The sequence below is a fragment of the Homo sapiens genome, chromosome 5, assembly GCF_000001405.40.
Source record: "Homo sapiens chromosome 5, GRCh38.p14 Primary Assembly".
Lineage (NCBI taxonomy): Eukaryota > Metazoa > Chordata > Mammalia > Primates > Hominidae > Homo > Homo sapiens.
The window spans coordinates 129,343,138-129,371,024 of record NC_000005.10 but is presented as its reverse complement, the minus strand read 5'-3'; the positions used below and the strand labels follow the sequence as shown (position 1 = coordinate 129,371,024).

Sequence of the window (27,887 nt, the reverse complement as noted above, 5' to 3'; positions counted from 1 at the left end):
GGGAGTCTCCTGGAAAAGAGCTCCTGGAAAAGAAATAAAAGGCCAGATTGAAGCAAAGAGCACAACCCTAAATCCTGCTCTGCTCCTTCTTAATTGAGATGTTATGTAAGGATATAATTCTTAAAGGTGCAGTGTCCATGCTGTGACCATGAGAGAGCACATTGCTGCAATACAGAGATTGGCAGATGAGAAAGCTATAAAATATGTGGTTCCCTATTTACCCCATTACACAAATATATCAAACCTGAGACTGCCTCTGAATGTCTTCACAATGAATGTTATTTGGCTGAAGCTGCTATGTTTTCTGTTATGAACTGCAGAGTGCATTTGTCTGAAAATATGAATGATCACGCTGACATGGATATGGAGATTAAGGCTGGTATCTGCACCAGGCTGTTTGACCTTTGTCCTTGGATACACCAGAAACACTGTATTACTCAATTTATACAAAATGAAGTGCCCATCCTCCCCAGAAGCCCACCTTTTCTACACCATTTGAAAGTATTTCCTGTTTCATTCATTGTAGCAAGGAACCTGGGTAGTATCATAGATCCCACCCTATCAATAATCCTCATCAAATTCTGAGGGTTCTGCTTCCGGAATTCCTCTTGAATGTGATTTCTGCTCATTCCACCTGTCACTATCATTGTTGAGATAATTATAATCATGTTTATTTTCTCTCCAAATCCTGTCTCACACAGGGCCTTCTTTTACATGTATAAGTGTTTTCTCTCTGTCCAAAATGCACATTAATCTTCTGAAGATACTGACCAGTGAAGCCATTTGAACCTTGGCTTTTCTTTGTGGGAAGATTTATAATTATTGTTTCTTTACTCATTTTTCACCTATTTAGATTCTCTGTTTCTTGAGCAATTTTAAAGTCATTTTTGTCTTTCTAGGAATTTGTCTTCTAAATGTCTATTGACATGAAGTTGTACATTACTGTATTTCTGTAGGATCAGAAGTGAATTGTTTGCTTTCATTCTTAACTTCAATAATCGGTATCTTCTCCATTTTTTTTGGTCAATCTTACTAAGGTTTGCCATACTAGTTTTCTCCCCCAAATAACCAACTTTTGGCTTCATTGATTTTTTTCTTTTTTCTTTTTCATTGATATGCATTTTAATAACTTTTTTCTATTTTTATCTTAATTTATTTTCTTTCTGCTTGCTTTGATTTGATTTGCTCTTTTTCTTTTAGTTTGAAAGTTCTGGTTATTGAATTGAGATATTTTCCTATTCTAACTCATGGTATTCAATAACTAAAATACTAAAAAATCCAATAAACATATTCACAATTACAATGTATTGAAAAACTGATTTTTTATAAATGGATTGTCATTCTTTTTTCACAAATTGATTTAATGAAATGTTCATTTATGATTAAAAATATTTTAAGGAAAAACCCATCTTTTAATTCTATCTAGAAGAAGATTCTGCCTAATTGTTAACAGAAAACATCACAAATAAGTAAATATCATTACATTTTCACATAGAAATGTTTTCTGGTATCAGGTAGAAGCATAAACATTTAAGAATAAAAAAATAGAAAGTTTAAAGATGGTGCTTTATATAAATAACATTCAAGTACAACTTCAGGTGCAAATTTTTGAACAGTTGTGTCAGGGTCCTTAAGCCCAATCTCAAGCTCAATGCTTCTCTTAAAGGACATATGGTTATTGTTTATTACCATAAAATAATACAGATTAAAATGGGTAAAGGCAAAATGCACATAGGGCAGAGGCGGGGAGAGACCAGAAATAACCTTGCAGTTATCTTCTCCCAGTGGAGTCATCCAGACAACACTTAATTATCTCAGCAATGATGTGTGACATCATATAAAGAGCATGGCCACCCAGAGGAGCTCACCTAAACGTTGGTGTTCAGGGCTTTTATTGAGGGTCAGTTACATAGGCATGGAGAGCCCATGAGACTGACTTTAGCTACCCAATCTATAGCCAACACCCAGAGGTAAAACTGACACAGTGTGGCCCAGAGCCCCAGGAATACAAAGACACTCTTACCAGGTGGGATACTCCTTATCCCTTACACAGCTTATCTCCTAGAAGCCAGTCAAGGGTCAGCCCGTCCTTTGGAATATGAGGGTTTGAACACCCCAAATCTTCTGAGTTAACACTTTAGTTCACACTTGTAAGAGATACGTCTATGCTTTTATGAATATGAGAATATTAAAACCATTAGTGTCTGTGACACACCCGAAACCAATTCAGGGCACTTCAGGGCCTGTTGGGGAAACTAAGCTTATTAATTTTTTAGCATTTCTGCTTTTCTATGAATCATTTTTGGCTTAAATTTTTTTTCCCAATAACCAAAAGTAATTTTCATCTCATAAATTGGATATGTACTTTTTTGTTATTCAGTTGTATGTAATTTTTAAATTTCTGTGATAAATTCTATTTGACTCATACATTGTTTTAATGTATCCTTTTTGACTTTCTAAATGTGCAGATTTTTACTAGGGTTATTATTATTACAAGGAATTCAACAATTTATTTGTCATTCCTCAGAACCTGATCTGTCTTTTCCCTCTTTTTGCTTTTCAATAAAATGTAATGTTATTGCTTTTGTTGTTGCTGTTCCATAGCCTCACTACAATGTATCTATCTTTCTTGAGATACAGTGGGATCCATGAATCTGAGAATGGGTATAAAATGTCTCAGCTAATATATGCTCAAATATTGTTCCTTAACTAGTCTCTATATTTGCTCCATCTTCAGCTAAATATTAAATGAATGTTTGGCCTTCATAGTTTTTGTTCCAATTCAAACTTTTTAAAAAATTTAGATGTTTAAAGAGATAATTGACATGACACAAATCCACCCATTTAAAGTGTACAATTCAACAATTTTTATTCACAAAGTTGTGTAAGCACCATCACAATCTATATTTAGAACAATTTCATCACCCTCAAAGAAACCACAAACCCTTTAGCAGTGATAACAATCCTCCCTCAAATCCCAACGTAGGGTTCTCTTTACAATGATGACACATTTTTCTTAAGCTGATTTCAAGATTTTCTCTTTATCTTTGGCTTTCAAACATTTTAATTGTTATGTGTCTAGATGTGGATCTTTTTGAATTTTTTTCCCACTTGGAGTTCACTGAGCTTCTTAAATATGTAGATTGGAGTTCTTCATCAAATTTAACAAGTTTTAAGCCATTATTTCTTCCAGTACTTTCCTGCCCCTTTCCCTCTCTCCTCCCTGGCACTCTGTGTGTTTGTTGGCACACTTAACGGTATCTCATATTTCACTGATGCTCCTCATTCTTCTTTCTTAATGTTCATCAGATTTGCATACTTTCTACTGATGTATCTTCAAGTCACTGATTCTTTCATTTAGAGCTTACGTTTACCCTCAAGTCTCTCTCTCTCTCTCTCTCTCTCTTCTTTTTTTTTTTTTTTTTCAGATAGACAGAGTCTAACTCTGTCGCCCAGGCTGGAGTGCAGTGGCACAATCTTGGCATCTTGGCTCACCGCAACCTCCACCTTCCAGGTTTAAGCGATTCTCCTGCCTCAGCCTCCCAAGTAGCTGGGATTAAGGCACCCACCACCACGCCTGGCTAGTTTTTTTTTTACTTTTTAGTAGAGATGAGGTTTCACCATGTTGGCCGGGCTGGTGTCAAATTCCTGACCTCAGGTGATCCACCCGCCTTGGCCTCCCAAAGTGCTGGGATTACAGGCGTGAGCCACCGTGCCCAGCCTCTCTGGTCTCTCTAATAAAGTTTTTAGTTCAGAGATTTTACTTCGAAAACATTTCTTTTATTTTTTTTGAGATGGAGTTTCACTCTTGTTGCCAAGGCTGGAGTGCAATGACATGATCTCACTCACCGCAACCTCCGCCTCCTGGGTTTAAGCGATTCTCCTGCCTCAGCACCCCCCAGTGCTGGGATTACAGGCATGGGCCACCACGCCCGGCTAACTACGTATTTTTAGTAGAGACGGGGCTTCTCCATGTTGGGTTAGGCTGGTCTGGAACTCCCAACCTCAGGTGACCCGCTCGCCTCGCCTCCCAAAGTGCTGGGATTACAGATGTAAGCTACCACGCCCAGCCCCAATTTTTAAAAAATAATTTCTTTCTCTTTATTGATACTCTTTATTTGATGAGGCATTGTTTTAAAACCTTTCTCAAATTGTTTACACGTGGTTTCCTTTAGTTTTTGAAACATATTTTTAAAAGTATAAATTTCTTCTGAAAATTGAGCATCTTGGATTCATGGTGCCACTTTTAACACTGATTCCCCCAGTTGCGTTCATGTTGTTGTTGTTGTTGTTTGCTTGGTCAATTGTTTGTTTAGAGACTTTGGCTAAACGAATTGTGTGAAGTCCATTTTCCCTGCAGTGTGCCGCCTTTGATGTCCCTGCTCAGATGTTATTTTTTTTTCTTTTTCTATTTTAAGTCTATATAGAGGTGGTTCTTCAGTCAGCATAAGCCACTTTTTGGCCAAGTGTTGTGCTTAAGCTACTTTGGCCAGTTAGACTTTACCTTTTATCTATAGATGGCTATGTGGCTCTGAGGCTGCTATCACAGTTCAAAGAGTTTACATTATTGTGAAACATTCTGTTGGGACAAGATACCTGGATTTTCTCTCCAAGTTTCTAACGGTACTAACTTATATTCCTACCAACAGTGTATAAAAAGCCTTTCTCCATATCCATATCTATTTTTTGCCTTTTTAATAACCATTGTAATTGAGATGATTTCTCGCTGTGGTTTTGATTTGCATTTTCCCAAATATTAGTGGTGTTAGGCATTTTTTCATATACCTGTCAGCCATTTGCATATCTATCTTTCAGAACTGTCTATTCAGATATTTTGCCCTTTTAAAAATTAGATTATTTGGTTTTTGTTGCTGTTGAGTTGTTTGAGTCCCTCATATATTCTGATTATTAACTTCTTGTCAGATGGATAGTTTACAAATATTTTCTCTGGTGCTGTGTTTCTTCACTCTGTTGATTGTTCTCTTTGCTGGGCAGAAGTTTTTTAGTTTGATGTAATTCCATTTATCCATTTTTGTTTTAGTTACTTGTGCTTTTGAGGTCTTACCCAAAAAAATTTTTACCCAAACCAATGTCCTGAAGCACTTCCCCAATATTTGCTTCCAGTAGTTTCATAGTCTCAGGTCTTACATTTAAGTCTTTAATCCATTTTGATTTGATTTTTGTGCAAAGATAGGAATCAAGTGTCATTCTTCTACATAAGAATAAACACTTTCCCATCACCATTTATTAAAGAGACCGTCCTTTCCCCAGTACAAGTTATTGGTGCCTTTGTAGAAAATGAGTTGGCTGTAAAAGTGTGGACTTTTTCTGTGTTTTTGATTTTGTTCCATTGGTCTATGTATTTTTATGCTAGTACCATGCTGTTTTGGTTGTTGTAGCTTTGTAGTATACTTTGAAGTCAGTTTGTTTGATCCTCCAGCTTTGTTCTTTTTGCTAAGAATTTCTTTGATGATTCAGGATCCCTCATGGTTCCATACAAATTTTAGGATTATTTTCCCATTTCTGTGAAGAATGCAATCATTGATTTCATTATATCTATAGGCCCTATAGGCCACTTTAGATAGTATTGATATTTTAACAATATTCTTCCAATCCGTGAACATGGAATATCTACATTTTTTGTGTGTGCTCTTCAATTTCTTTTATCAGAATTTTATAGGTTTCATTGTAAAGATTTTTCACTTCTTTGGTTAAATTTATTCTTAGGTATTTTTTTTATATAGCTATTGTAAATGGGGTTGCTTTCTTGATTTCCTTCTCAGAATGTTTGCTGTTGTATAGAAGTGCTATTAATTTTTGTATGTTGATTTTGTATCCTAGAACCTCACTCAATTAATATATTCGTTCTAACAGTTTTTTGGTGGGGTCTAGGTTTTTCTAAATAGATGATCATGTCTGGAACCAGGGACAATTTGAACTTCTTTTCAGTTTTGATATCCTTTATTTCTCTTGCTTAATTGAGCTGGTTAAGACTTCCATCACTACGTTGAATAAAAATGGTATGTTCTAACTCATATGCGGAAGCTAAAGAAAAGTTGATCTCATGGAATAAAGTATAAAATGGTAGTTACTGGAGGCTGGGAAGGGCATGTGTTTTGGGGGAAGGAATGAAGAGAGTTTGTTTAATGGGTACAAACATACAGTTAAATTGAAGGAATAAATTCTAATGTTCAACAGCAGAGAAGGATGACTGAAGTTAAGAACAATATGTACTATATATTACAGGTATGCATTATGCATTTATACTTAAGGTTGTATACATACAACCAAGTTTAATATCATTTACAAGGTGACTTTTGATTATCTGATTTTTTTTGTACTGATTTTTAGAAAAACCCTTTGATTGTCTATAGTTACAATAGAAAATATTTAGTTAATTCCAGTGGTTGGTTAAGAAAGGTGCAGTATATGTGAAGACATTTACAGGGTCATAGTTTTGTGTATGTGCATTGCCATATATAAGATAAAGTACATATGTACGATATGAAAGAGATAATACTGTGCTTCTCCTTTAGCTCTACGTTTTTACTAGAGTTAATCATAATACTGATGAATATGACTTTTTTTGTAATTTTAGTTGTCTGGAGAACATGGTGTTTTAAAAACTTAAGCTTTTTGCTTATCCATATACCTTTCTCACTCTTACAGACACATATTTAAATACATACATAAAAATCCACAGAAACAACACACCTACAGTTTAAAAACACACCTCTGTATTCTAAGTCTTAAAGTTTAAGTCACCAGGAAATTTGATGAGAAAAAAAGATATTCCAAGAAATGTAAATAGAAAATATAATATGCATGGTATGGAATGAAGGAGGGCAGGTTTGGGATGTTTCTGATACATGATGAATGCCTTTCTTTAAGTATACTTCTCCTTAAAATTTTATTTGACCCCTTAGGGATAGAAACAGAGCCCCATACACTTTACATTCATAACCCCAGCACATTTTGTAATACATCATGTCCAAGAAGTGTTTCAAAATTATTTTTAAAATCTTCCTGTGAATAAATTACTGATAAACCTGAAATATTGCCTAACATTTAAAAAATTAAATATGTCTAAATTTCCTCTCCATAATTAGGTCTTTATAAAATTACTAGAAAACATAGCCTATGCTCATATTTAAAGCTTACATTGGCCATGCAAAAAAATGATTTATAATTATTCAATGTATTAATGATGCAGTATGAGATATTAAAAATTTGCATAAGTTTGGTATGCATTATAGTTTTTGCCTACTCAACACATGATTTTCATTAAATTAAGAGGTATATTAATCACATAGTAAAGTATGCATGATTTTTACTGAAAAAAAATGTCCTCAGATAAAACAGCAGCCACAGGTGTTTTGAAATAAGTTGGCCAGTTTAAGTACACCTAGGAATCATCTCTTCAGAGGCTTTCTAACTTTTTGCCAACATATGAATTATATTCTCCAAAATGGACTACAGTTGAATTTTAAGGAAAAAAAGGAAGAGATTGTTTTCAACATAGCATGGTCTGACTTGGAAGAATTTTTTTCTTAAATATAAAGCTCTGCCTGAGTTGAGAAATATCTAGTCCTAAATCTTAATTCATCTCTTCTAGAAGGACTCTCAAGCTGGTAAATGTATTATTTTTAGCTAAACTATTTTGGATTTTAACTTTGTACTGATTTCCACTGTGTTTTCTAGAATTATCTTGTCAAACTGCTTTCCTAAAAGCACACTAAGTAGAAATAGAAAGATGGTTTTCATCAAATTTTTTCCTTTTAAAAAGCCAATCCGCTCGTGCACAGACTGTATGTTCTTACCATATAGAATTACAAATTAAAGTGAAATATTCAAATAATGTTAGTATAACAGTTATTCTTGGGATTAGTATGTTTTCATATTAGATTTTGGAATTTAAAAAAAATTTATTCGATTGACTCGCTAATGATGTAGTTTAGTCTACCTAAAGAAATTGTATACAATTTCTAAAAAAAACTTGTATATAGTTTCTGGAAGATTGTAGGGGTCCAACTAATTTAACAGAGTAACACTGCTTCCAGTTATACTTCATTATACTCCATGCACTTAAAATAGGAAAACGATGGCAACAATATTAGTGTTTGTTTTTCCCACATGATAAAGATTAGGTGGCTTTAAGAGCTAGTGAGGTAAATTCCATTTGTTTTATTTATTAAGCAGAGTTTTAGTTGTGATTCCTCATTCCTTCTTACTCTAAAAGAGGAGAAAATAGTACAGGGTGCCCCTCAAGCTATTAGTCAAGTGACCTAGTTTCAGTTATCCCTTTTCTGGGTTGGGCCAACACTGATTTTTCCCAGATGACCATATTTTCTTTTATTCCCATACAGGCATTCCTAGAGTTTTAAAAAGAAAGTGTGGAGTTCCTCCAAAATCTGTGGTCAGAACACAAATATTTTGAAATAGTCTCCTTCCTAGCCTGCTGTAGCTATCAGCATCACCAGTAGTCCTTTTAAAAAGAGAATCTTTGAAAGATCATTAAGAAGAATTAAAAAAAAAAACACAAAGTTTTATAATCCATAAATCTCTTTCACAGGACAATCAATTATACACAATTCACATGCTTTCAAATATTTTTCCTATGACTTTAGAAGTCTAAGCCTGTTGCTGGTGACACTCAAAATAACTATGATTTAATGATAAAGTCACTTGAATATCCAAATGATGTAGAAATAGAAAAAATATTTTAAAAAGGATAAAACTACTTTATTTATAGGAAATAAAGTGCCTATCTTTTCCCTACTGGGAGAGGAAGAAACACGTAGGTCATTTTAAACTTCTGGTGGATTTGACATTAGAAGGGAGATGGCCAGGACTGGTGAAATTCTTTTTGCCTCAAAAGGAAAAGTGGAAAGGAAAAGAAAGCTATGGGTTTTTTCCTAATTAATAAGCTCTGGGCTAAAATCCCATACAGACTAAGTATTATACATACACATCTATAAATATTACTAATTACTTTTTTCTTCATTCTTTCCTCTTATATAGTAAAGTGGTGATGAACAACATTACAATTTGGTGTTTGAATTACAGAGCATTCAGGTGGAGAATGTAACTAAATTAGAGGTGCTGAGATATGGATACAATGCCTTGGAGATTTTTGTATCTCTCCTCTTTGAATAGATCATGACAGCATTTTTTTTTTTTTGGTATAAAGGATGCTTCATATTGCATGGAAGCATATATCTGTTGTTTTTTTACAAGGTCTAACATGTAGAAAGTTGGGAATGACTAAATTGCATTAAAGTGTCTTGCAAATGTTTTTGCTTAAAGTCCATATTTTCATACTGTTATAAATTTCTTAAATATTTTCCCACCCATTTCAAGGATAAGTTGAAAATATGGCTCCCCCTACTGACTAAACTCAATATGTTCTTCCATCACTGATGCAAACAATCTTAACTTTTATCTCAGTAGTTTGCAGGTACCTGCTTTGTAAACTCAGAGACTGATGCCAATGGAAAGTCTAATGATGTTCCACAAAAGTGACGCTGTAATAGAAGACTTGCAAGGTACCCAACACCACAGCTAGATACATCCCTTTGAGGATAATTGATGGCTTATTTCTGGGATCTGGTGGAGAGATCTCCCATCACTGAAGAAAAATACTTCTGAAAACTGAAATAACTAGTATGCTATGGATAATGTCAGATACTCCCATAAAGCTAGAGCCACTCATCAGAGTCTACTGATAAAATGGTACACATAGGAATATGTTCTCAAATTGGGCTGTGTGTGTGTGTTGGGGGTTGGGAGTAGTGGTCAGGGCATTGTTAGAGAGATCATTGTATCCATGAGCAGTTTCCAGCCCTCTTTTGGGAACTAATGATACAATCTCTAGAACTGTTGGCTCCTGAACCCTAAAATTTGTCTCTTGCTAAAGTAAAGCAAGCTTCCTGGTGTGTTCCTAAATTCAGGAATGCAGTTTATTTTGGAAATATGCCAATATCTTTCCTGTGTTTGATAAAGACCTTAGGCAAGGTTCCCCCCACCCCGCCCCCCCACCAAGAGTAAAGCTATAGAATGGGCAGCATTGAGATCAACATATCTGAAAGTGCAAAGAGCACTGGGCTCTTCCTCAGAAAAAATGTTTTACATTTTATGAACTCATGGGTGGTGGCCATTGCTTTGCTTTGCCATGTGTTCAGGCAAATGAGCCCTAGATGATCATATAATTAAGAATAAATCTGTGTAGGGAATGTAGTTTTGGAAATCCTGTAGGAATTCCAAGAAAAAATTAAAGGGGTGCCGTGTACCTACTAAACAGAAAAAATCAGCTACTGGCTCAGAAGGGGACTAGAATGCAAAAGCTGACAGCTTCGTTTGGATCTTAGAAGTAGCTATATCTGGCCAGGCGCAGTGGCTCATGCCTGTAATCCCGGAACTTTGGGAGGCCAAGGCAGATGGACCATGAGGTCAGGAGTTTGAGACCAGCCTGGCCAACATGGTGAAACCTCGTCTCTACTAAAAATACAAAAATTAGCCGGGCATGATGGTGTGTGCCTGTAGTCCCAGCTATTCGGGAGGCTGAGGCAGGAGTATCGCTTGAACCTGGGAAGGTGGAGGTTGCAGTGAGCTGAGATTGTGTCACTACAGTCCAGCCTGGGCAACAAGAGCGAGACTCCGTCTCAAAAAAAAAAAAAAAAAAAAAAAAGGTAGCTACTTCTATATCTCAAGTAGACTGCGAAGTGCTCAAGCTATGAAACACTGCAAAGAGTAATTACATATTTATCATATTATGAAGCTGCTAATGTGGTAAAAGATGTACAGAATACAAACAGGAAATAAATATGTGTAAGATTTCTTCAAGACAATAGTTGACTGTAGCTGGCAGGCTACGTAGGATCCTTGCCAGTAGCTATAAATGGCTTCAAATATGTTCTGACTAGAATGGGCATATATTTGCTTTTGGACTCCCTTTATCCTGTAAAGGACGCAATAGCTGAGATACCATAAAAATTTTGTAGCGGAATGTTTATAAATGTGGCCAGGCTATACTTCATTAAATAATACGTATTTTACTAAGAAGCATAACATAATATGAACTTATGTCTCTTTTCATGCTCAAAGTAACAGTTTACTTGAGAACTAGATTCGGCAATTAAAAGTGAGGTTAATGATAAGTGGGGGTTGTGTGAAGGGAAGGCTGGCTTGATTGGATGAATGTATATTTCACCTGAATGACCAAAAGTGAAGAGAGAGGAACTTTAAGGTTTCTCCTGTGTAAAATGGAATGAGGGGTAGGAGATGATACAGCCACAAACTCTACCTTTCACACCTTGCAAATTCTTTTTTCTTGTCAGATCCAGGTGTACTGTGTCTGAGACTGCCCATGCATGTCACAACAAGAGAGGCATTGCTGTGCTAATTCACTTCCTCGAAACTTTAAGGAAATGACAGACTGGATATAGTCTTCACCATATGCGTTTAAACTAAGATGAACTGTAGATATTGGACACACTTCTAGTTATTGGAATTGTTCCATTGTTTTTTAATCTGTGCCAGGATGAAAAAAAAAATTCTGAGAAGGCTTTATCTGTCCTGTGGGTGGTTGTGTAGAGATTCCACCCAGCATGGCTGAGCCTGGACTAACACAGGTAATGAGTAAAAGAAAGAAAAAGGAAAATTTTGGCAGAAGAGAAGTGATACTTAAACAGGTAATGATGTATGAAAAAAAAGAACATCTAATTTTCTTAGCTGTTTTTTCAGATGTAGTGTCAAGTGATGGCCACTGCTGAAAGAAATATCTGGATTTTTTTTTCTGCTGAGAAGGGTATTTGAATGAAGCTGAACCCTAAGACTTACCCAAGAAGTTGCTGTGGGTGGTTTGGGGAAGATATCAACCAGCATCCCTTGATGATGATGATACTCTTAGCTGAAGACTTGCCTGAGTAACAGTGGTTTGTAATTACCATTTGGACTGTGTTTTTTTGTTTTGATTTTGGTTTTCTTACTTTTACACTGAACTGGACTTACTGTTCCTGGCAGTTAGCAACTGATGTACTGGATTGCTGTAAACCAGGATGTGGCCTGTTAAGGTAACTAGCTGAGTATGAGTATGAAGGGAAGCATATATCATTATCACCTGCTTTGTATCCTTAAAAAACTTTAAGGTGTGAATGTATATGGAATACTACACAAACAGTAGCTCAATTAATTAGATATGAAAAATGGTAAATATTGTCATTATACGGCAGTCACATATCACTGGTGATTTGCCCCAGGAACATTCAAGGTGGCAATTGTGGAAGCCTATGGTACACATACAAACGGAATGACAATAAGAAATAGTATATGCTTACTGACAGTGTCCTGAGGCACTTCATACTTCTGGGAATACCAAATATACTTGATTTTTTGTTAGAATTTCTATTTCTCTACTCATCTGTTCTTGCATGTTGTCTTTTCCCATTACAATCCTTGCACTTGTAGTTGTTTTAAATTCAGTCTGATAATTCTAACATTCCTGCTGTATCTAACTCTAGTTTTGATGCTGTATTTTTTGCCTTTTAGTAGGTCTTGTAATTTTTTGTTGAAAGCTAGACTTGTACTGGGTTGAAGGAACTCCAGTAAATGAACCTTTAGTGATCTATGGTGGTAAGATGTGGAGGCAGGGGAAGTGTTCTGTCATCCTGATTAGTCTCAGTCTTTTAGTGAACCTGTGTCTGTGACTATCACAAGTGCTTAGCAGTGCCTCCCCACCCCCACCTTACGTTCCAAGGTGGCTGGAGGTGGCGGGAGTTGGTAATTCCTCTTCTCACACAAGGAAGGCTAGAGAGAACTGGAGTTGGGTATTCCCTTCCCCAAGGATACTTCGGCTGTGGTAAAATGCCAATAAGTTAGCCTTTGGTGACACAGTTTCTCCTGAGGGTATTTTTTTCTCTCTCATATTCACTGTGCATTACAGCAAAGCTCCAAGAGGTAATCAATCACAAAGGTAGAAGGGCTTCTTTGAGTTTTTAACTCATAGACTTGTCCACACTGAGCCTCCAGCAATTTGTCAATTATGATTCAGGTTATCCTACTCTGGTTCTGGTTTCCACAGAAGTTTCTGCTCATTGGTGTCTGCTAGAGTATGCTGTGATTCTCTGTATCCACCTGTCCACCAAACAGGAAGTCCTCCACAATATTCTTGAATTATACCTGTACGATAAGTACTCAGAAGCAAACACTGATGGTATTTTACTCAACACTGGCCCTAACATACTGACAGGAAACTGGGGTTTCGGAAATTGGTGTTTTAAATCCCAGGGAGTGAATTAAGGAGGAAAGTTAGCTTTAGGAAAGTTGCATATGCAGGTGAATATGTCTGTCCAAACCTTTAAAAAGCTATGACTAATTGAGGCTACCTTGGGTAAAGGTATAGTCTAATTTATAGAGAAATATTCAATAAATTTGAATATCCAGAAATTTGTGAAACTGTATAATCGCAGTTAATGTGTGTTTTTTTCCCAACTGTTCCTTGGATGATAGAGACCCTGGTAGTTGTTTTAGTATGTTTTCTTGCATGTCACAACATTGTAGAAGTTTCTGTGCTAAGAATTAAAAAGATGGAGGAAAAGTAACAAAGATATTGACAAGGACTGGCAAGAAACTGCAAGTTAGAGATCAACAGATGATTTCATGGTCTTTCCTCTAGCTTCAGGGATACTTGAGTTGACCTTTGGCTATATTGTCTTAGTAACACTAACTCATAGAATTAATAGAAGAATACCCCAAATTAATTGGAGATAAATCAGAATCTGTTTGAGGATAATGTCCCTTAATAAGTACCTACACCTCATTCTTGAGATTGTCATGTAATGGAGAATCAGTGTGTATAAGGTTCAGCTGCAATTGGAAACTGGGTAGTCATTATGTTCACCAGAGAATGGCATGTGTCTAGCAAGGTAACATCCTGAGGCAACCTCAGAATTGATGGCTTTCTTTAGCAGAGACTGTCCACGTCCACTTGGCCTCATGTATTCTAATGACACATGCCCTAAATATGGCAGGCATCACACATGCCCAGAGTCATGATATCCTCAGCTATGTTGTTGCTACATTGTTGCTTGTTCCACAGTCATTCTTAAAACTGGGTAAATTTGGCACTATGTGAAAACTAATGTGTTTCATGAGTATGATCGTCCAAAGCCATTGTTGCTGAGAGAAAATTGGGACAGAAGGACACTGTAGTGGATATATTAAAAATTGTTACTTTTCTCCATGGGTGATGGAGTCATAGAACAGACAGGAATTAACGTGATATGCATTCTGCATCATGGATGCCTAAAAGTTTAGTTGTTCAATAACTCGCTGTTAGCTAAATACAAATTTATGTTACTGACCCAACCAATATTTATTGAGTACTTTCTATATGACATATATTGATGTAAGGTTGCAATGTGGAATTAAATTGATATGGTCTGTCCTAGTGAAACATTCACTAAAATAATAAGAATATGCAAATAAATAAAAGTTATATCTCACATTGTAATCAAGGTTTATCTAATAGGAAACAAAATCTTAATACAGCACATTTCAGAGTAGAATTTAATATTGAAATAAAAGACCCACTGTACTTAATTATGAAAAATAAATTTAAATAAGTTTTTTTGAAAAAAGGTAACTTGGCTGGGCGCAGTGGCTCACGCCTGTAATCCCAGCACTTTGGGAGGCCGAGGTGGGTGGGTTACCTGAGGTCAGGAGTTCGAGACCAGCTTGGCCAACACCGTGAAACCCAGTCTCTACTAAAAATACAAAAATTAACCGGGTGTGGTGGCGGATGCTTGTAATCCCAGCTACTTGGGAGGCTGAGACAGGAGAATCGCTTGAACCCAGGAGGAAGAAGTTTTAGTGAGCCAAGATGGCGCCACTGCACTCCAGCCAGGGTGACAGAGTGAGACTCTGTCTTAAAAAAAAAAAAAAAAAGGTATACTTCTCTTCTATAAAAGTGCTTGAGATGAAGAAGCAGAAAGGTTTGGATACTATGAAAGCGTAATGAATATGTAAACTTCAAGAACAATGTGCTTATCTACTTATGTTGAAAGTGCATATAACTTCTAACATAGCAGTTTTACACCTAGAAATATAATCTAGAAAACTATCTTATATAAACATTGTCATATAGCCATATAAGATGTTAGATTGGACATCATAAACTTGCCATATTTGACTACGTATTACTTGCATTAATATGCAACACTAGTTAAAATAAATGAAATCTACATGTCTTGACATAGATAAATGTAAAAAGCAAAACAGTAAAAAAAGATTACAAAAGAAATAAACAGTGTGATATATTTTAATTTAGAAAGAAAATGTAGAAAGCATACAAAGCAATACCATGTGGTGTTAATGATAGGTATGTATGTAGTAAAAGTATAAAAACCTGAATGGGTGAGATACACGTACTTTTTTAAAAAAAATAGTCAATGAATAAACTAGAGTGTTTGCCTTTTTGTGTATGTTTCAGAAAAGAAACTACAGGGATTTAAGTGGAGAGACAATAAAAGAAGAGGAGAAATATTCACAGATAAAGAGGAGGAAAAAGTACTAAAAATAAGTATAATATTGTCAAAATATATCTCGTACATAAAAATAATTCAACTCTCTCAGGTCAGGGTGACTTTGACACAGGTCTACAGGATCAGGAGAACAAAAGTAACACACAGTTTTGAAAGATCTTACTTAAATTTATTTTAAGAATATAAATCAGCAAGTCAAGATTTTATTGTATTGTTGAATTTTGAAAATGCTCTATTTATCTTCCTTGAATTTATTTTGACTTGCTAGCATATCTTTCTCTAAATTTTCTGAAATATTTCAGACTTTAATTTATAACTGTTTTCTTTTCTATTTCTTTTCCCTTCCTAGACTTTCTTTTATTCTGTTATGCTGTGAACTGTTTCATTTCTTAGACATTTTTACATGGCCATAAATTTTAGTTGGCATAGTACCAGTGACAAAATTATCTATATCTTGTATGCCATTTTTTTGTATAGCTATTTAATATCTACTGTATCTAACAGCTACCCAAGAAGAGGATGTATAAATAATATCAAAGACAGCAAAAACAAGATTTAATTTATCCTAAATCTAGTATTAAGATTTCTGGTTAAAACAATAAATTCATCTAGTTTTAGCCAAATCTCAGAATGACTCAGTTCATTAATTTCAGATACAACAGAAAACAAAATGCATTGCAAGTATAATGTAAAGGATGAAATCTTACTCATGACATGTTGAGGAAATTAAGATTATTGCATTTTAATGCTATAGTGAATTAATATACTTAATTTATTTTTATTATCTTAAAATTGCAAATTACGATTCTGATATTTTTAAAACTTTGTAAAAGTAAACAGGATTAATCTAAAATAGGTTAGAATTAGTACTAAATTTTTAAGCATACTTATGTTTTAATTAATAATTTATAGAATAAACTAAATTTTTTCTTTTTGTAAATTATAATTGCATATAGGAAGAATTCATTTCCAGACTCATAATTTATTATAACAGTGTATCCTTAGAAGTTATATGATTTAATGTCTCTGCATGGTGTAAGCATCATTGTACATTTAGTTTCAAGCAATCAAAAAAGTAGGATTAGAATTAGACGATGTATTAATACATGCTGCATTCTATAAAAATCCAAAAAAAAAAAAAAGAAATTTGAAAGACAAACCAAAAACTTGAAACAGAAAATGACAAAATAGGTACCTTGCAGCTGATGGACTTAGGCAATTGTGAAGCAAAAATAAAGTAGAATGTTGTACTAGAATAATGGTGGAGCATGTGTTAATTTGTTTGTAAGTAAAGTTTGTTTTTTTAAAAAATTTGTAGGTACATGCATGTTTTGATGCAGGCATATAATGCATAATTACCACTGGTAAATGGGGTACCCATCCCCTCAAATATTTATCCTTTGCATTGCAAACAATCCAATTATACCTTTAGTTATTTAAAAATGTACAATTATATTATTGAGTATTGTCACCTATTGCTATTGTGCTATCAAATACTAGACCTTACTCATTCATTCTATCTATTTTTTTGTACCCATTAACCATCCCCACCTCTCCCCCACCATCCTTCCCAGCCTGTGGTAACCACTCTTCTATTCTCTATGGGTTCAGTGTTTGTCTTCTTTTAAGAAATGTCTATTCAAATTGTTTGCCTATTTTTAAATTGGATTATTAGATTTTTTCCCTATAGATTTGTTTGAGCTCCTTATCTATTCTGGTTATTAATTCTGGTTATTAATTCCTTGTCAGATGGGTAGTTTGCAAATATTTTCTCCCATACTGTGGGTTGTTTTGTCACTTTGTTGATGGTTTCCTTTGCTGCGAAGAAGCTTTTCAGGTTGATGTGATCCCATTTGTCCATTTTTGCTGTGGATGCCTGTGCCTTTGGAGTATTGCTCAAGAAGTCTTTGCCCACTACAATGTCCTAGGGAGATTCCTCTAAGTTTTCTTGTAGTAGTTTCATAGTTTGAGGTCTTTAATTATGTAATTCATATTAATTTGATTTTTGTATATGGCAAGAGATAGGGGTCTAGTTTTATACTTCTGCATATGGATATCCAGTTTTTCCAACATTATTTGTCTTTTCTCCAGTGTATATTCCTGGCACCTTTGTCAAAAATGAATTCACTGTAGGTGTATGGATTTGTATTTGTGTACTCTATTCTGTTCTCTTGGTCAATGTGTCATTTTTTTTTTATGCCAATACCATGCTGTTTGGGTGACTACAGCTCTGGAGTATAATTTGAAGTCATGTAATGTGATTCCTCCAGTTTTGTTTCTTTTGCTTAGGGTAGTTGTAGCTATTCTGGGTCTTTTGCAGTTCCATATAAATTTTAAGGTAGTTATTTCTATTTTTGTGAAGAATGTTATTGGCATTTTGGTAGGGATTGCATTGAATCTATAGATAGCTTTGGGTAGTATGGACTTTTTTTTTTTTTTGAGACGGAGTCTTGCTCTCTTGCCCAGGCTGGAGTGCAGTGGTGCAATCTTGGCTCACTGCAAGCTCCGCCTCCCAGGTTCATGCAATTCTCCTGCCTCAGCCTCCTGAGTAGCTGGAACTACAGGTGCCTGCCATTGCACCCAGCTAATTTTTTTTTGTATTTTTAGTAGAGACGGGGTTTCACCGTGGTCTTGATCTCCTGACCTCAGGATCTGCCAGCCTCGGCCTCCCAAAGTGCTGGGATTACAGGCGTGAGCCACTGCACCCAGCCTAGTATGGATTTTTAACAATATTGATACTTCCAATCCATGAACACAGAATATTATCCTTTTAAATTTTTTGTCACCAGTGTTTTATAGTTTTCTTTAGAGATCTTTCACTTCTTTGGTTAATTCCTAGGTATTTAATTTTAATTGTGGCTATTGTAAATGGGATTTCTTTTTTAGATTGTTCACTTTTGGCATATAGAAATGCTACTGAGTTATGTGTGTTGATTTTGTAACCTGCAACTTTACTGGACTTTATCAGTTCTAATAGGTTTTTTTTTTTTTTTGTAGAGTCTTCAGGTTTTTCCATATATAACATCATATCATCTGCAAACAAGGACAATCTGACTTCTTCCTTTGTAAGCAAAATCTTTATAACTATGAAACAGCAGATGAGGAAATCATTATGCTAATCCTACAATCCTGCTTCTGCTTTTGATAAACTATCAAACTAAATAAATATGTTTTTAATCTTTAGGTTAATGAAACTTTTTGGTCTATTTTCACTAAATAATGTATTTTTGCTTTTATTAAGAAAAGGAAACTTTTCTTGCTTACTAGTTCATTAGCTAAATTTCTGCAAGTGATTTTTGAAAATAAATAAAATGTACCTGTTTCTAAATGACTTATTTATACTTTATCAGATGAACTTTGGAGAAGTTTCCTGTCTGTAAAAAGGAGTCTCCCATCAGCCTTTGCAGGGAATTTGTGAGTATTACAGATATTTTGGGCAAAGTTGTGGGTATATAGGAAAGTATTAAGTTTATCATGTTTATTAATAATTTATGGTATTATTTACATTATATTCAGACATATATGTTTTAAAAATCAAGTTGATCAAATGTTTGTTGACATGTTTTTACTTTCTTGGTGCTCTTTATTCTATTTTTCATGAAAGCCTATTTTTTTTCACATGTTAAGTTTGACCCCCTCATCATTTTACTAGCCAATGTTTCCTCATGTTTTTCTCTGTATTTTAATTGATTTTTATCTGTTACATCCTTCTCAATGCAAAAGCCATTCCCTTCCTTGTAATAAAATTCAACCTATTGTTGGGTTTTATTACTTAACACTTTTTCTGCTAACTACAATCCAATTAATATCTTCCATCTCTACTAGATATCCTTTACCTTATTTATGTCCTTTTGCTCTTTGTAAAGCTTTTAGTGGAAAAACTAAATATGTATATAATAATATAATGAACTTCCATATACCTATTGCCTATTTTCAAAATTGTTAGCACATTGCTAATATTATTTACTAATAAAACACATCAGAATCTACTGGAACGTAAGTGACCTCAACATAATTATAGGATACAAGATAAATATTTAAAAAATCAATTATATGTCTATATACTAACTATGAACAATTGAAAGGAATAATACCATTTACAATAGCATGTTAATCAAAATATTTGCAAGTTCTGCACTCTTGATACAAAAAAGTTTTTCATATTAAAGAAAACCTAAATGGGAAAAACAAGACTTTCTTTATAATTTGGAAGACTCAATATTGTTAAGATGTCAATTCTACCCAAGTTGATCAATATATCCAAAAATCCTAATTGCTTTTTGTAGAAATCGATATGCTGATTATAAAATGCCTATGGAAATACACGCGACCTAATAACCAAAATACCAAATACCTAAAAATCAAACTTTGAAAAAGAAAAACAATGTTTTGTAGTTAAAACACTAGTCTATAAGTCCTAGAAACAAGAACTTATAATACTTGGTTTCTAATGTTGCTATAAAGCTATTTTAATCAAAACAGTGATATTGGCATAATAATCATAGGTTAGTAGAAAATAATAAAATCCAGAAATAGACCTGCATGCATAAGGTAAATTGATTTTTGACAAAATTTCCAAGGCAGTTCCATAGGGAAATTAAAGTCTTTCAACAAATATTGCTGGAAAAAAAGTATTCATCCATACATATGATGGAAAAAAATAAATTTAAAAATACGTACCTGAGAATATATGCAAACTTTAACCCCAACTGGGTAGTAATAGCCCTTTTAATAAGAATATTATAAATAATTGAGCTAAAAAGGGGAAATTCCATGACTTTGGGTTAGGCAAAGATTTCTTAGTATAAAAAAGCATAATCACTAAAAGAAAACTATTGATAAACTCAATATCATAACAATTAAAATATTTTGCTCCTCAAAAGATTCTGTTTAAAAGTGAAGAGTTTAATCTGATAGAGTACTCTATATGCAAAAAACCTAAAACTAATAACTCATTAGTAAGAAAAAAGTTAAAAATGGACAAAATCAAAAAAAATAAATAGAAAATAAGTATGTGGAAAAATGTTCAATATCATCAGTCATCAGGGAAATGAAAATGAAAACAAAGGTAATGCAAATTACCATACTATAATACCATATATACCCACAATCACTGTCTACAATGTGAAAGTACCTGGCAATAAAATTGTTGGCGAAGATGTATGCACAATAAGCATACAATGCATGTGTCTATTTGAATATTCTAATTATTTCAGTATTCTAATTATATAACTGTTTTAAGGACTTGGCAAATTTCAAGAAAATTCAGAGAAACAAGGAAATAAGGAAGGCAATAGGTGAACAAAATAAGAAAATTAACAAGGAAATGGAAATAATTTTAAATATCAAACAAATTCTGGGGCTAAAGAATATAAAGAATGAAATAAAAAACTCAGTGGGAGCATTAACAACCAAATTGATCAAGAAAAGAATCTGAACTAAGGAATAGGTTATTTGAAAATAATCAGAGGAGAAAAAAATGAATGAAGAAAGCTTACAGGATTTATGGGACAGTATCAAAAGAGCAAATTTTCAAGTCACAGGTGTTAAAGGGGTAAAAAGCTTATTTGAGGAAATAGTAGAAACTTTCCAAACCTGGAGAAGCATATAAATATCCATGTAAAGGAAGATCTAAGGTCTAATCAGATCCAATTCAAATGGGACCATATCGATATATATTATAATCAAATAGTTAAAATTAGGAGAAAATAACATACAAGGAGGTACTAATATGACTAGCAACAGATTGCTCAGCAGAAAAGGCTATGAGAAAATAGGGTGATATCTAGTAGTTAAAATGTTGAAGAAAGTAAACTTGCAACCAAGAATATCATACCCAGCAAAGCTGTTCTTCAGAAACAAAGAAGAGGTAAAGATTTTCCCAAGCAAAAAGCAAAGGAATTTAATCACCACAAGACCTGTCTTGCTAAATGCTAAATGGAGTTCTTCAAGCTGAAAGAAAAAGATTCAAAGTATAACACTCACTGGTAAGTACACTATCAAATTATAATACTCTTGTACTGTAAGGGTGGTGTGTAAATCATTTATATCTTTAGTATAAATATTAAAAGACAAAACTAATAGCTACAATAATTTCTTGAGATATTCAATGTAAAAATATGGAAATCGAGACACTGAAAATTCAAAATGTTCAGAGAGGAGCGAAGTAAAAGTATAAAGTCTCTTCTTTGGTATTAAAATTTTTATCAGATTAAAATAACCTGCTATAACTGTAAAAAATTTTTGTAAGCTTCATAGTAACCACAAAGTGAAAAATCTATTAGTAGATACACAGAAAAAAAAAGTAATGAATCAAAGAATAGCACTAGAGAAAATTACTTAACCACAAAAGACAATAAGAGAAGAAATGGAAAACAAGAGCAAACTAAGCACAAAGTTCATAGGAAGAAGGAAATAATAAAGGTGAGAAAAGAAAAAAATAAACACTAGAAAGTTAATATAATAAATCAATAAAACTAACAGTTTTTTGCAAAGATAAACGTTTAGCTAGACCAAAAGAAAAAGAAGACTCAAATTCCAAAAATCCAAAAGGAGACATTAAAACTGATACAACAGGGGAAAAAATCACAAGAGACCATTATGAACAATTATATATCAACAAACTGAATAACCTAGAAGAAATGGGAAAATTCCTAGAGATATGCAACCTACCAAGATTAAATTGCGAAGAAATAGAAAATCTGAACAGACTAATAATGAGTAAGGGTATTGAATCAATAATAACATGTCTCCCAACAAAGAAAAGAATGGGAACTGATGGTTTCACTGCTAAATTCTATTAAACATTTAAAGAAGAGCTAATACCAGTGCTGTTCAAATTGTTTCAAAAAATTGAAAAGGAGGAAATAATTCAAAACTGATTTTATGAGGCTAGCATTATACTGGTACCAAAGTCAGACAAGGACACTGTGAAAAAAGATAACTGATAAACATAGATGCAGACATCCTCAACAAAATATGAACAAACTGAATTCAACAGCACATTAAAAAGATCATTCATTATGATCAAGTGAGATTCATCCTAGAAATGCAAGAACAGTTCAACATATCCATATCTATAAATGTGATACATCACATCAACAAAATGAAGGACAAAAAATAAACAATCCTTTCAACAGAGGCAAAAAAAGACTTGGACAAAATAGAATATACTTTCATGATAAGGAAAAACTCAACAAATTAGATATAGACGGAATGTACCTCAACACAATAAAGACCACATGTGACAAACCCACAACTACCATACTTACTGTGAAAAAGTTAAAAGCTTTTCCTCTAAGATTCAAAACAAGTCACAGATGTTCGGTCTTGCCACTTCTATTCAACATAGTCTTAGAAGTCTGAGCCACAGCAATTAGACAAGAGAAAGAAATAAAAGCACTCAAATAGAATTGGATGAGGTAAAATTGTCTGTTTGCAACAACGTGATATTATATATAGAAAAACCTAAAGATTTTACCAGAAAAACCTGTTAGAATAACAATTTCAGTGAAGTTTCAGGATACAAAATCAACATACAAAAGTAGGTAACATTTCTATACAACAATACTAACTATCTGAAAAAAGGAAACAATCCTACTTGTAAGAGCTACAAAAAATACTTAGAAGTAAATTTAACCAAGAAGATAAAAGATCTCTACACTGAAAACTATAAAACATTGATTAAAAAAATTGAAGATGACACAAATGAAAAGAAAGATATCCCATGTTCATGCATTGGGTGAATAAATATCACAAAAATATTCATGCCACCCAAAGCAATAAACAAATTCAGGTAATCACTATCAAAATACCAAAAATATTTTTCCAGAGAAACAAAACAGCAATCTTAAAATTTTGAAATACAAAAGACCCCATATAGACAAAATGACCTTGAACAAAAAGAATAAACCTAGAGATAATCTACTACAAAGTTATAGTAGCCAAATTGGCATGATACACATATGGAACAACAGAGTCACTTATTGTTCAGAGATAAATCGATATATTTACAGCCACCTGAGTCTCAGTGAAAGTGCCAAGACACACAGTGGGGAAAGGACAGTTAATAAATGTTGGTTGGAAAACTGGATACCTGCATGCAGAAGAATGAAACTGGACCCGAAACTGTAAAACTACTAAAGAAAACACAGGAAAAGCTCCACAATATTGGTCTGGGCAGTGATTTTTTTTTTTTTTTAGATAGGACCTCAAAAGCAAAAATAGACAAATAGGACTGCAACAAACCAAAATGCTTCTGCACTTCAAAGGAAAGATACAACTCACAAATTGGAGGAAAAAAATGTTTGCCAATTATACACTAGAAAAGAAGTTAATATCCAGAATATACAAGGAACATACAACTCACAGATTGAGGAAAAACATTTGAAAAGTATTCTTTGGATAAGAGATTAATATCCAAAATATATAAGGAACTCATATCAGTAGGAAGAAAACAGATAACCCAATCAAAAGTGAGCAAAGGACCTGAAGAGCCATTCCCAAAAAGAGACATATATACAAATGACCAACAGATACATGAAAACATGATCAATATCACGAGTCACCAGGGAAATCCAAATTAAAACCACGATGAGATATCACCTCTTATCTGCTAAAATGGCAATTATAAAAAAGATGAAAGATAAGTGTTGGTGGACCCTTGCACAAGCTGTTGATGGGAACGTAAATTCATGTGGCCAATATGGAAAATAATATAAAGGTTCCCAAAAAAATTAATACAAGTATTTTATAATCCAGAAATCCCACTACTGGATATATATCCAAAGGCAATGAAATCATTACGTTGAAGAGATGTCCACACTTCCCTATTCACTGCAGCATTATTTACAGTAGCCAAGATATGGAATCAAACTAAGTGTTCATCAATGGATGAATGGATAAAGAAAATGTCGTCTATATACGTAATGAAATACTACTAGTCATAAAGAGAAGGAAATTCTGCCATTTGCAGCAAAATGGATGAACTTGGAGAATATCATGTTAAGTGAAATAAGCCAGGCACAGAAAGACAAATACTGCATGATGTCACTCATATGTGGAATCTACAAAAGTTGGTCTTAAAGAAGTAGAGAGTATATCGGTGGTTATCGGGGGCTGTTGTGGTTGGGGAAGTAATGGTGAAAGGATACAAAATTTCTGTTTGGAGGAATAAGTGACTATAGTTAATATCAATATATCTTATTTGTGAAAATGCTAAAAGAGATGTTAGTTGTTCTCACCAGAAAAAAATAACTTTATGAAGTAAGTCATATGTTAATTAGCTGTATTTAGTCATTTCACAATGGGGCCTTGTGGGCTGTGGGTTGGACAAGCTTGATGTAATATATTTATCTAGCCAGGTATCTAAATATGTATCTTAAGGATGACTGCCTCAATTTCCAGCCCCTCAATTCTGTTTCTGCTCAGCTCTGCTGTAATTACCTCCTTTAAATCTGCTCACAGGCTGATTCAGAGAAACAATTTTCTGAGAATTGACTCAGAATTCATTAGGATTGAATAGATACTGGAAAGATATAAATAGTTAAAGTTGGATGTCACTTAATTTACTTGAGAATGAGTATTTTATGATTGCTTTATATAAGTAAAAGACTTTTTTGTTTCCTTAGCAGAAAACAGCCTCTTGAAATATCTTTTCTTTCTCAATTTCTCCTCTCTCTGCCCCACGCCTTCCCATCACCGTAAGACTTAAATCAGTCTGTAATCTGTCCTTCAGCTCTATGTGTTATATGATAAATGTGCTAATAACCTTGAATTCTTTCCAGTCCTCCTTGGCTTCAGATCATAGGAACCTTTCTTAGGAAAGAAAATGGACTTTCAAAGATTAGAATTACCACGTAACAGATAGACGGGAGCCAAAACCCACAAGCCTTGAGAAGAGATAAAAAATACTGATTTCTGTGATGTCTTCCACCTTCCAGTTTTACAAAGAGTTACTTCCCCTTCTCTGACAGTTACAGGTCAGCTGCTGCTCCTGGAAGCCAGCAGGTCTTCCTCCATCATACAAAAGACAAATACATGCAAAGCAGTTTCTAACAGGTCAGCACTGTTTATAAGTTAACTCTAAATTGCTTCCCTGGCCCAGTTTTAAGCTCTGCATTCATACTTATCCCTCATTCTCTAAGTCTCTGACCTGAGATTATTTTTTTCTGGTTTGTGGGTCTAGGTGTCAACTCTTGTAATATTTACTCTTCCCCAGATTGAAGCATTTATCATCCTAGACTATAATTTCTCTTGCCTACTTTGATAGCCCCAGGGTTTCCCTAAATCAGCCTAATACGTGAAAGAAAGGAGCTATAAAGATGCTTTTATATATTACAGCAGAATAATTCCTGAATGAGACTCTACTCAATTACAGAAAAATTCAAACCCAACATCTTTTGCTGTTATACCATGTACTGTGAAGCAATACACGATATTTCTCGGTTAGACTGTGCTAAATGAAAGCTTGTGAAGAATATATGATTATGATCATTGCTCTAAAACACAATTTGAGAGACTAAATTTTGGGGAAAATTCCAACACCTTGAGCTTTCTACCTAATAAATAAGGAACTTAGACATAAACAGGAAATATTTCTTTACTTTTGGTTTCCTGTTTAAAACTTTTTGACTCCTTTTCTGTTGTTGAATTCACTATATCAGAGAATGAATGGTCATTTCTGACACCCCTGATGATTTACAGAAAAATGCTTCCTAACTTCTAGAATTTCAGTCTCAACCCAGTGCATTCATGTGCCTTACTACTTTCTTCGCATTTTCTGTTATACGTCTCACAGGCATTTCAGGTTTGTTTTCCGAATCTGACCCCTAGACCTTTACCTATTCCCCAAACCTTTTTTTCTGTCTTTTTTATCCAGGTATACCTATTGTCCCACTCACAGAATCTGAAAATTGTGCTGTCTTTACCATTGCCCTCACAAAATTCTATCCCACTTCCAAAATGTATTTCAAAATCATCTACTTTTCCCAGTCTCCACTCTAATTCAAATCACTGTCACTTACATCCCAGACTGTGCAATAGCCTCTTTTGCCATTTTTCCCCTTCTATGTACTCTTGCCTCCCTCCAATCCATTATCCACATAGCAAGGGCAATCTTAAAATTTAATGATCTTCTCTGCTGGAAACTCTTCAGTAACTCCCTGTTGCGTGTTGGATATGACCCACATCTTTAACATGGTCAGCAAAGCCTCACATAATCTGTCCCTTAACAACATTTCCATATTCATTTTATAATATGCTCCCAGGAGCTTGCCGCAATCCAGCATGCTGGTTTTCTTAGTTACTTTAAAGCACTCAAAACTTTCCTCAATTGTCCTTAGGCCATGCTGTTCCTCCGGCCTGGCACACACTTCCTTCACTGTCTTTACCAGTCTAAATTAAAATACCACTTCCTGACACATGTACATTTACATTTTTTTAAATTGTTTTGCCTGATAATTCTTGCTGGAGGATTTTCCCTGGCCAACAAAAGCTAGTCGGCCCATGTAAGAGGCAGGTCACAAGTCCTAAGGAATTAATGCTTCCTCTCCTCCCCATTTCAGGAACAGCCTCCAACCTATGACTGATGGGAGTGAGGGGCGACTACCCCAGCTCCCTCAGCTGGAACAAAGAGTATTGTACTTTATCTCTAAGTGTTCCTAGATGGACTGAGCCCCAGTTGCCCAAATGGTAACCTATTTAATAACATACCTTGAAAAGAGTTTCTTCTCTTCCCTTTTTTCATGTCTGCAATCTTTTATCAGTGCACCTCCCAAATAAGCTCCATGTATCTTCTTCTCTGTCTTGGATCAACTTCTAGAGGATTCAAGCATAAAGTACAGGGAATTTTGTTATGAAGGCGGAATCATTTATTTAACAAAGTCCTGTATACCTAAAAGCATTACTAGGAACTCATTCTGCATGCTCACTATGTACGTTTTGATCCAAAAAGAATTGACAATTTAGAATTATGCAGTAGTGATGCCCATGTAATCTGTAATTATTCATGTATCTTTGTATGCAAATCCATGTGTTTATGTGAGTTAAATATGTGACCATTTTAACTACTTGTGTAAACATATGTATGAGTTAAAGACTAATTATTGATGGATAGATGTATCTGTACAAGCGTATGTTTGCATGAGTTATCTATATGGCTACTTTATCTGTGATTACTTACATGTTTGGATTTTTTAAAAATATTATTTTGATTGTCTCATGCTAGGAAAACAGGGTTTAAAAACCATACTAAATGCCTTTTAATAATATTCTACCTTGATAAAACAAATTAGATATAATATTGAACTATTGAGTACCAAGTAGCCAATCAACTGTTTTGATTACTTA

General features: G+C 34.3%; 2 long non-coding RNA genes across 5 annotated transcripts in view, besides 1 other annotated feature; one reads left to right on the top strand and one right to left on the bottom strand.

Moving 5' to 3' along the window:
• Positions 1–27,887, bottom strand: part of LOC102723654 (uncharacterized) — a 253,720-nt gene that overhangs the window by 22,904 nt on the left and 202,929 nt on the right. For all 3 annotated transcript variants that reach the window (XR_001742463.2, XR_001742465.2, XR_427770.4), the window contains one exon: positions 27,252–27,356. This is a non-coding gene — a long non-coding RNA (uncharacterized LOC102723654). The remainder of the gene's footprint in view (positions 1–27,251; positions 27,357–27,887) is intronic.
• LOC105379169 (uncharacterized) lies at positions 18,537–27,258 on the top strand. Of its 2 annotated transcripts, XR_948775.4 has the most exons (3): positions 18,568–18,604; positions 18,890–18,953; positions 25,514–27,258. It is a non-coding gene; the product is annotated as an uncharacterized LOC105379169 (long non-coding RNA). The 2 variants fall into 2 exon arrangements; XR_007058927.1 differs by lacking the exon at positions 25,514–27,258 and having other exon boundaries at positions 18,537–18,604; positions 18,890–22,027.
• Positions 25,789–25,958: an enhancer, noted in NCBI's record as "experimental_80935 CRE fragment used in MPRA reporter constructs". NCBI's record gives its function as "activates a minimal promoter by MPRAs in K562 erythroleukemia cells, with activity observed for both the introgressed and non-introgressed 5:128680845 variant alleles {active_cell/tissue: K562}" and the evidence as "EXISTENCE:reporter gene assay evidence [ECO:0000049][PMID:34662402]".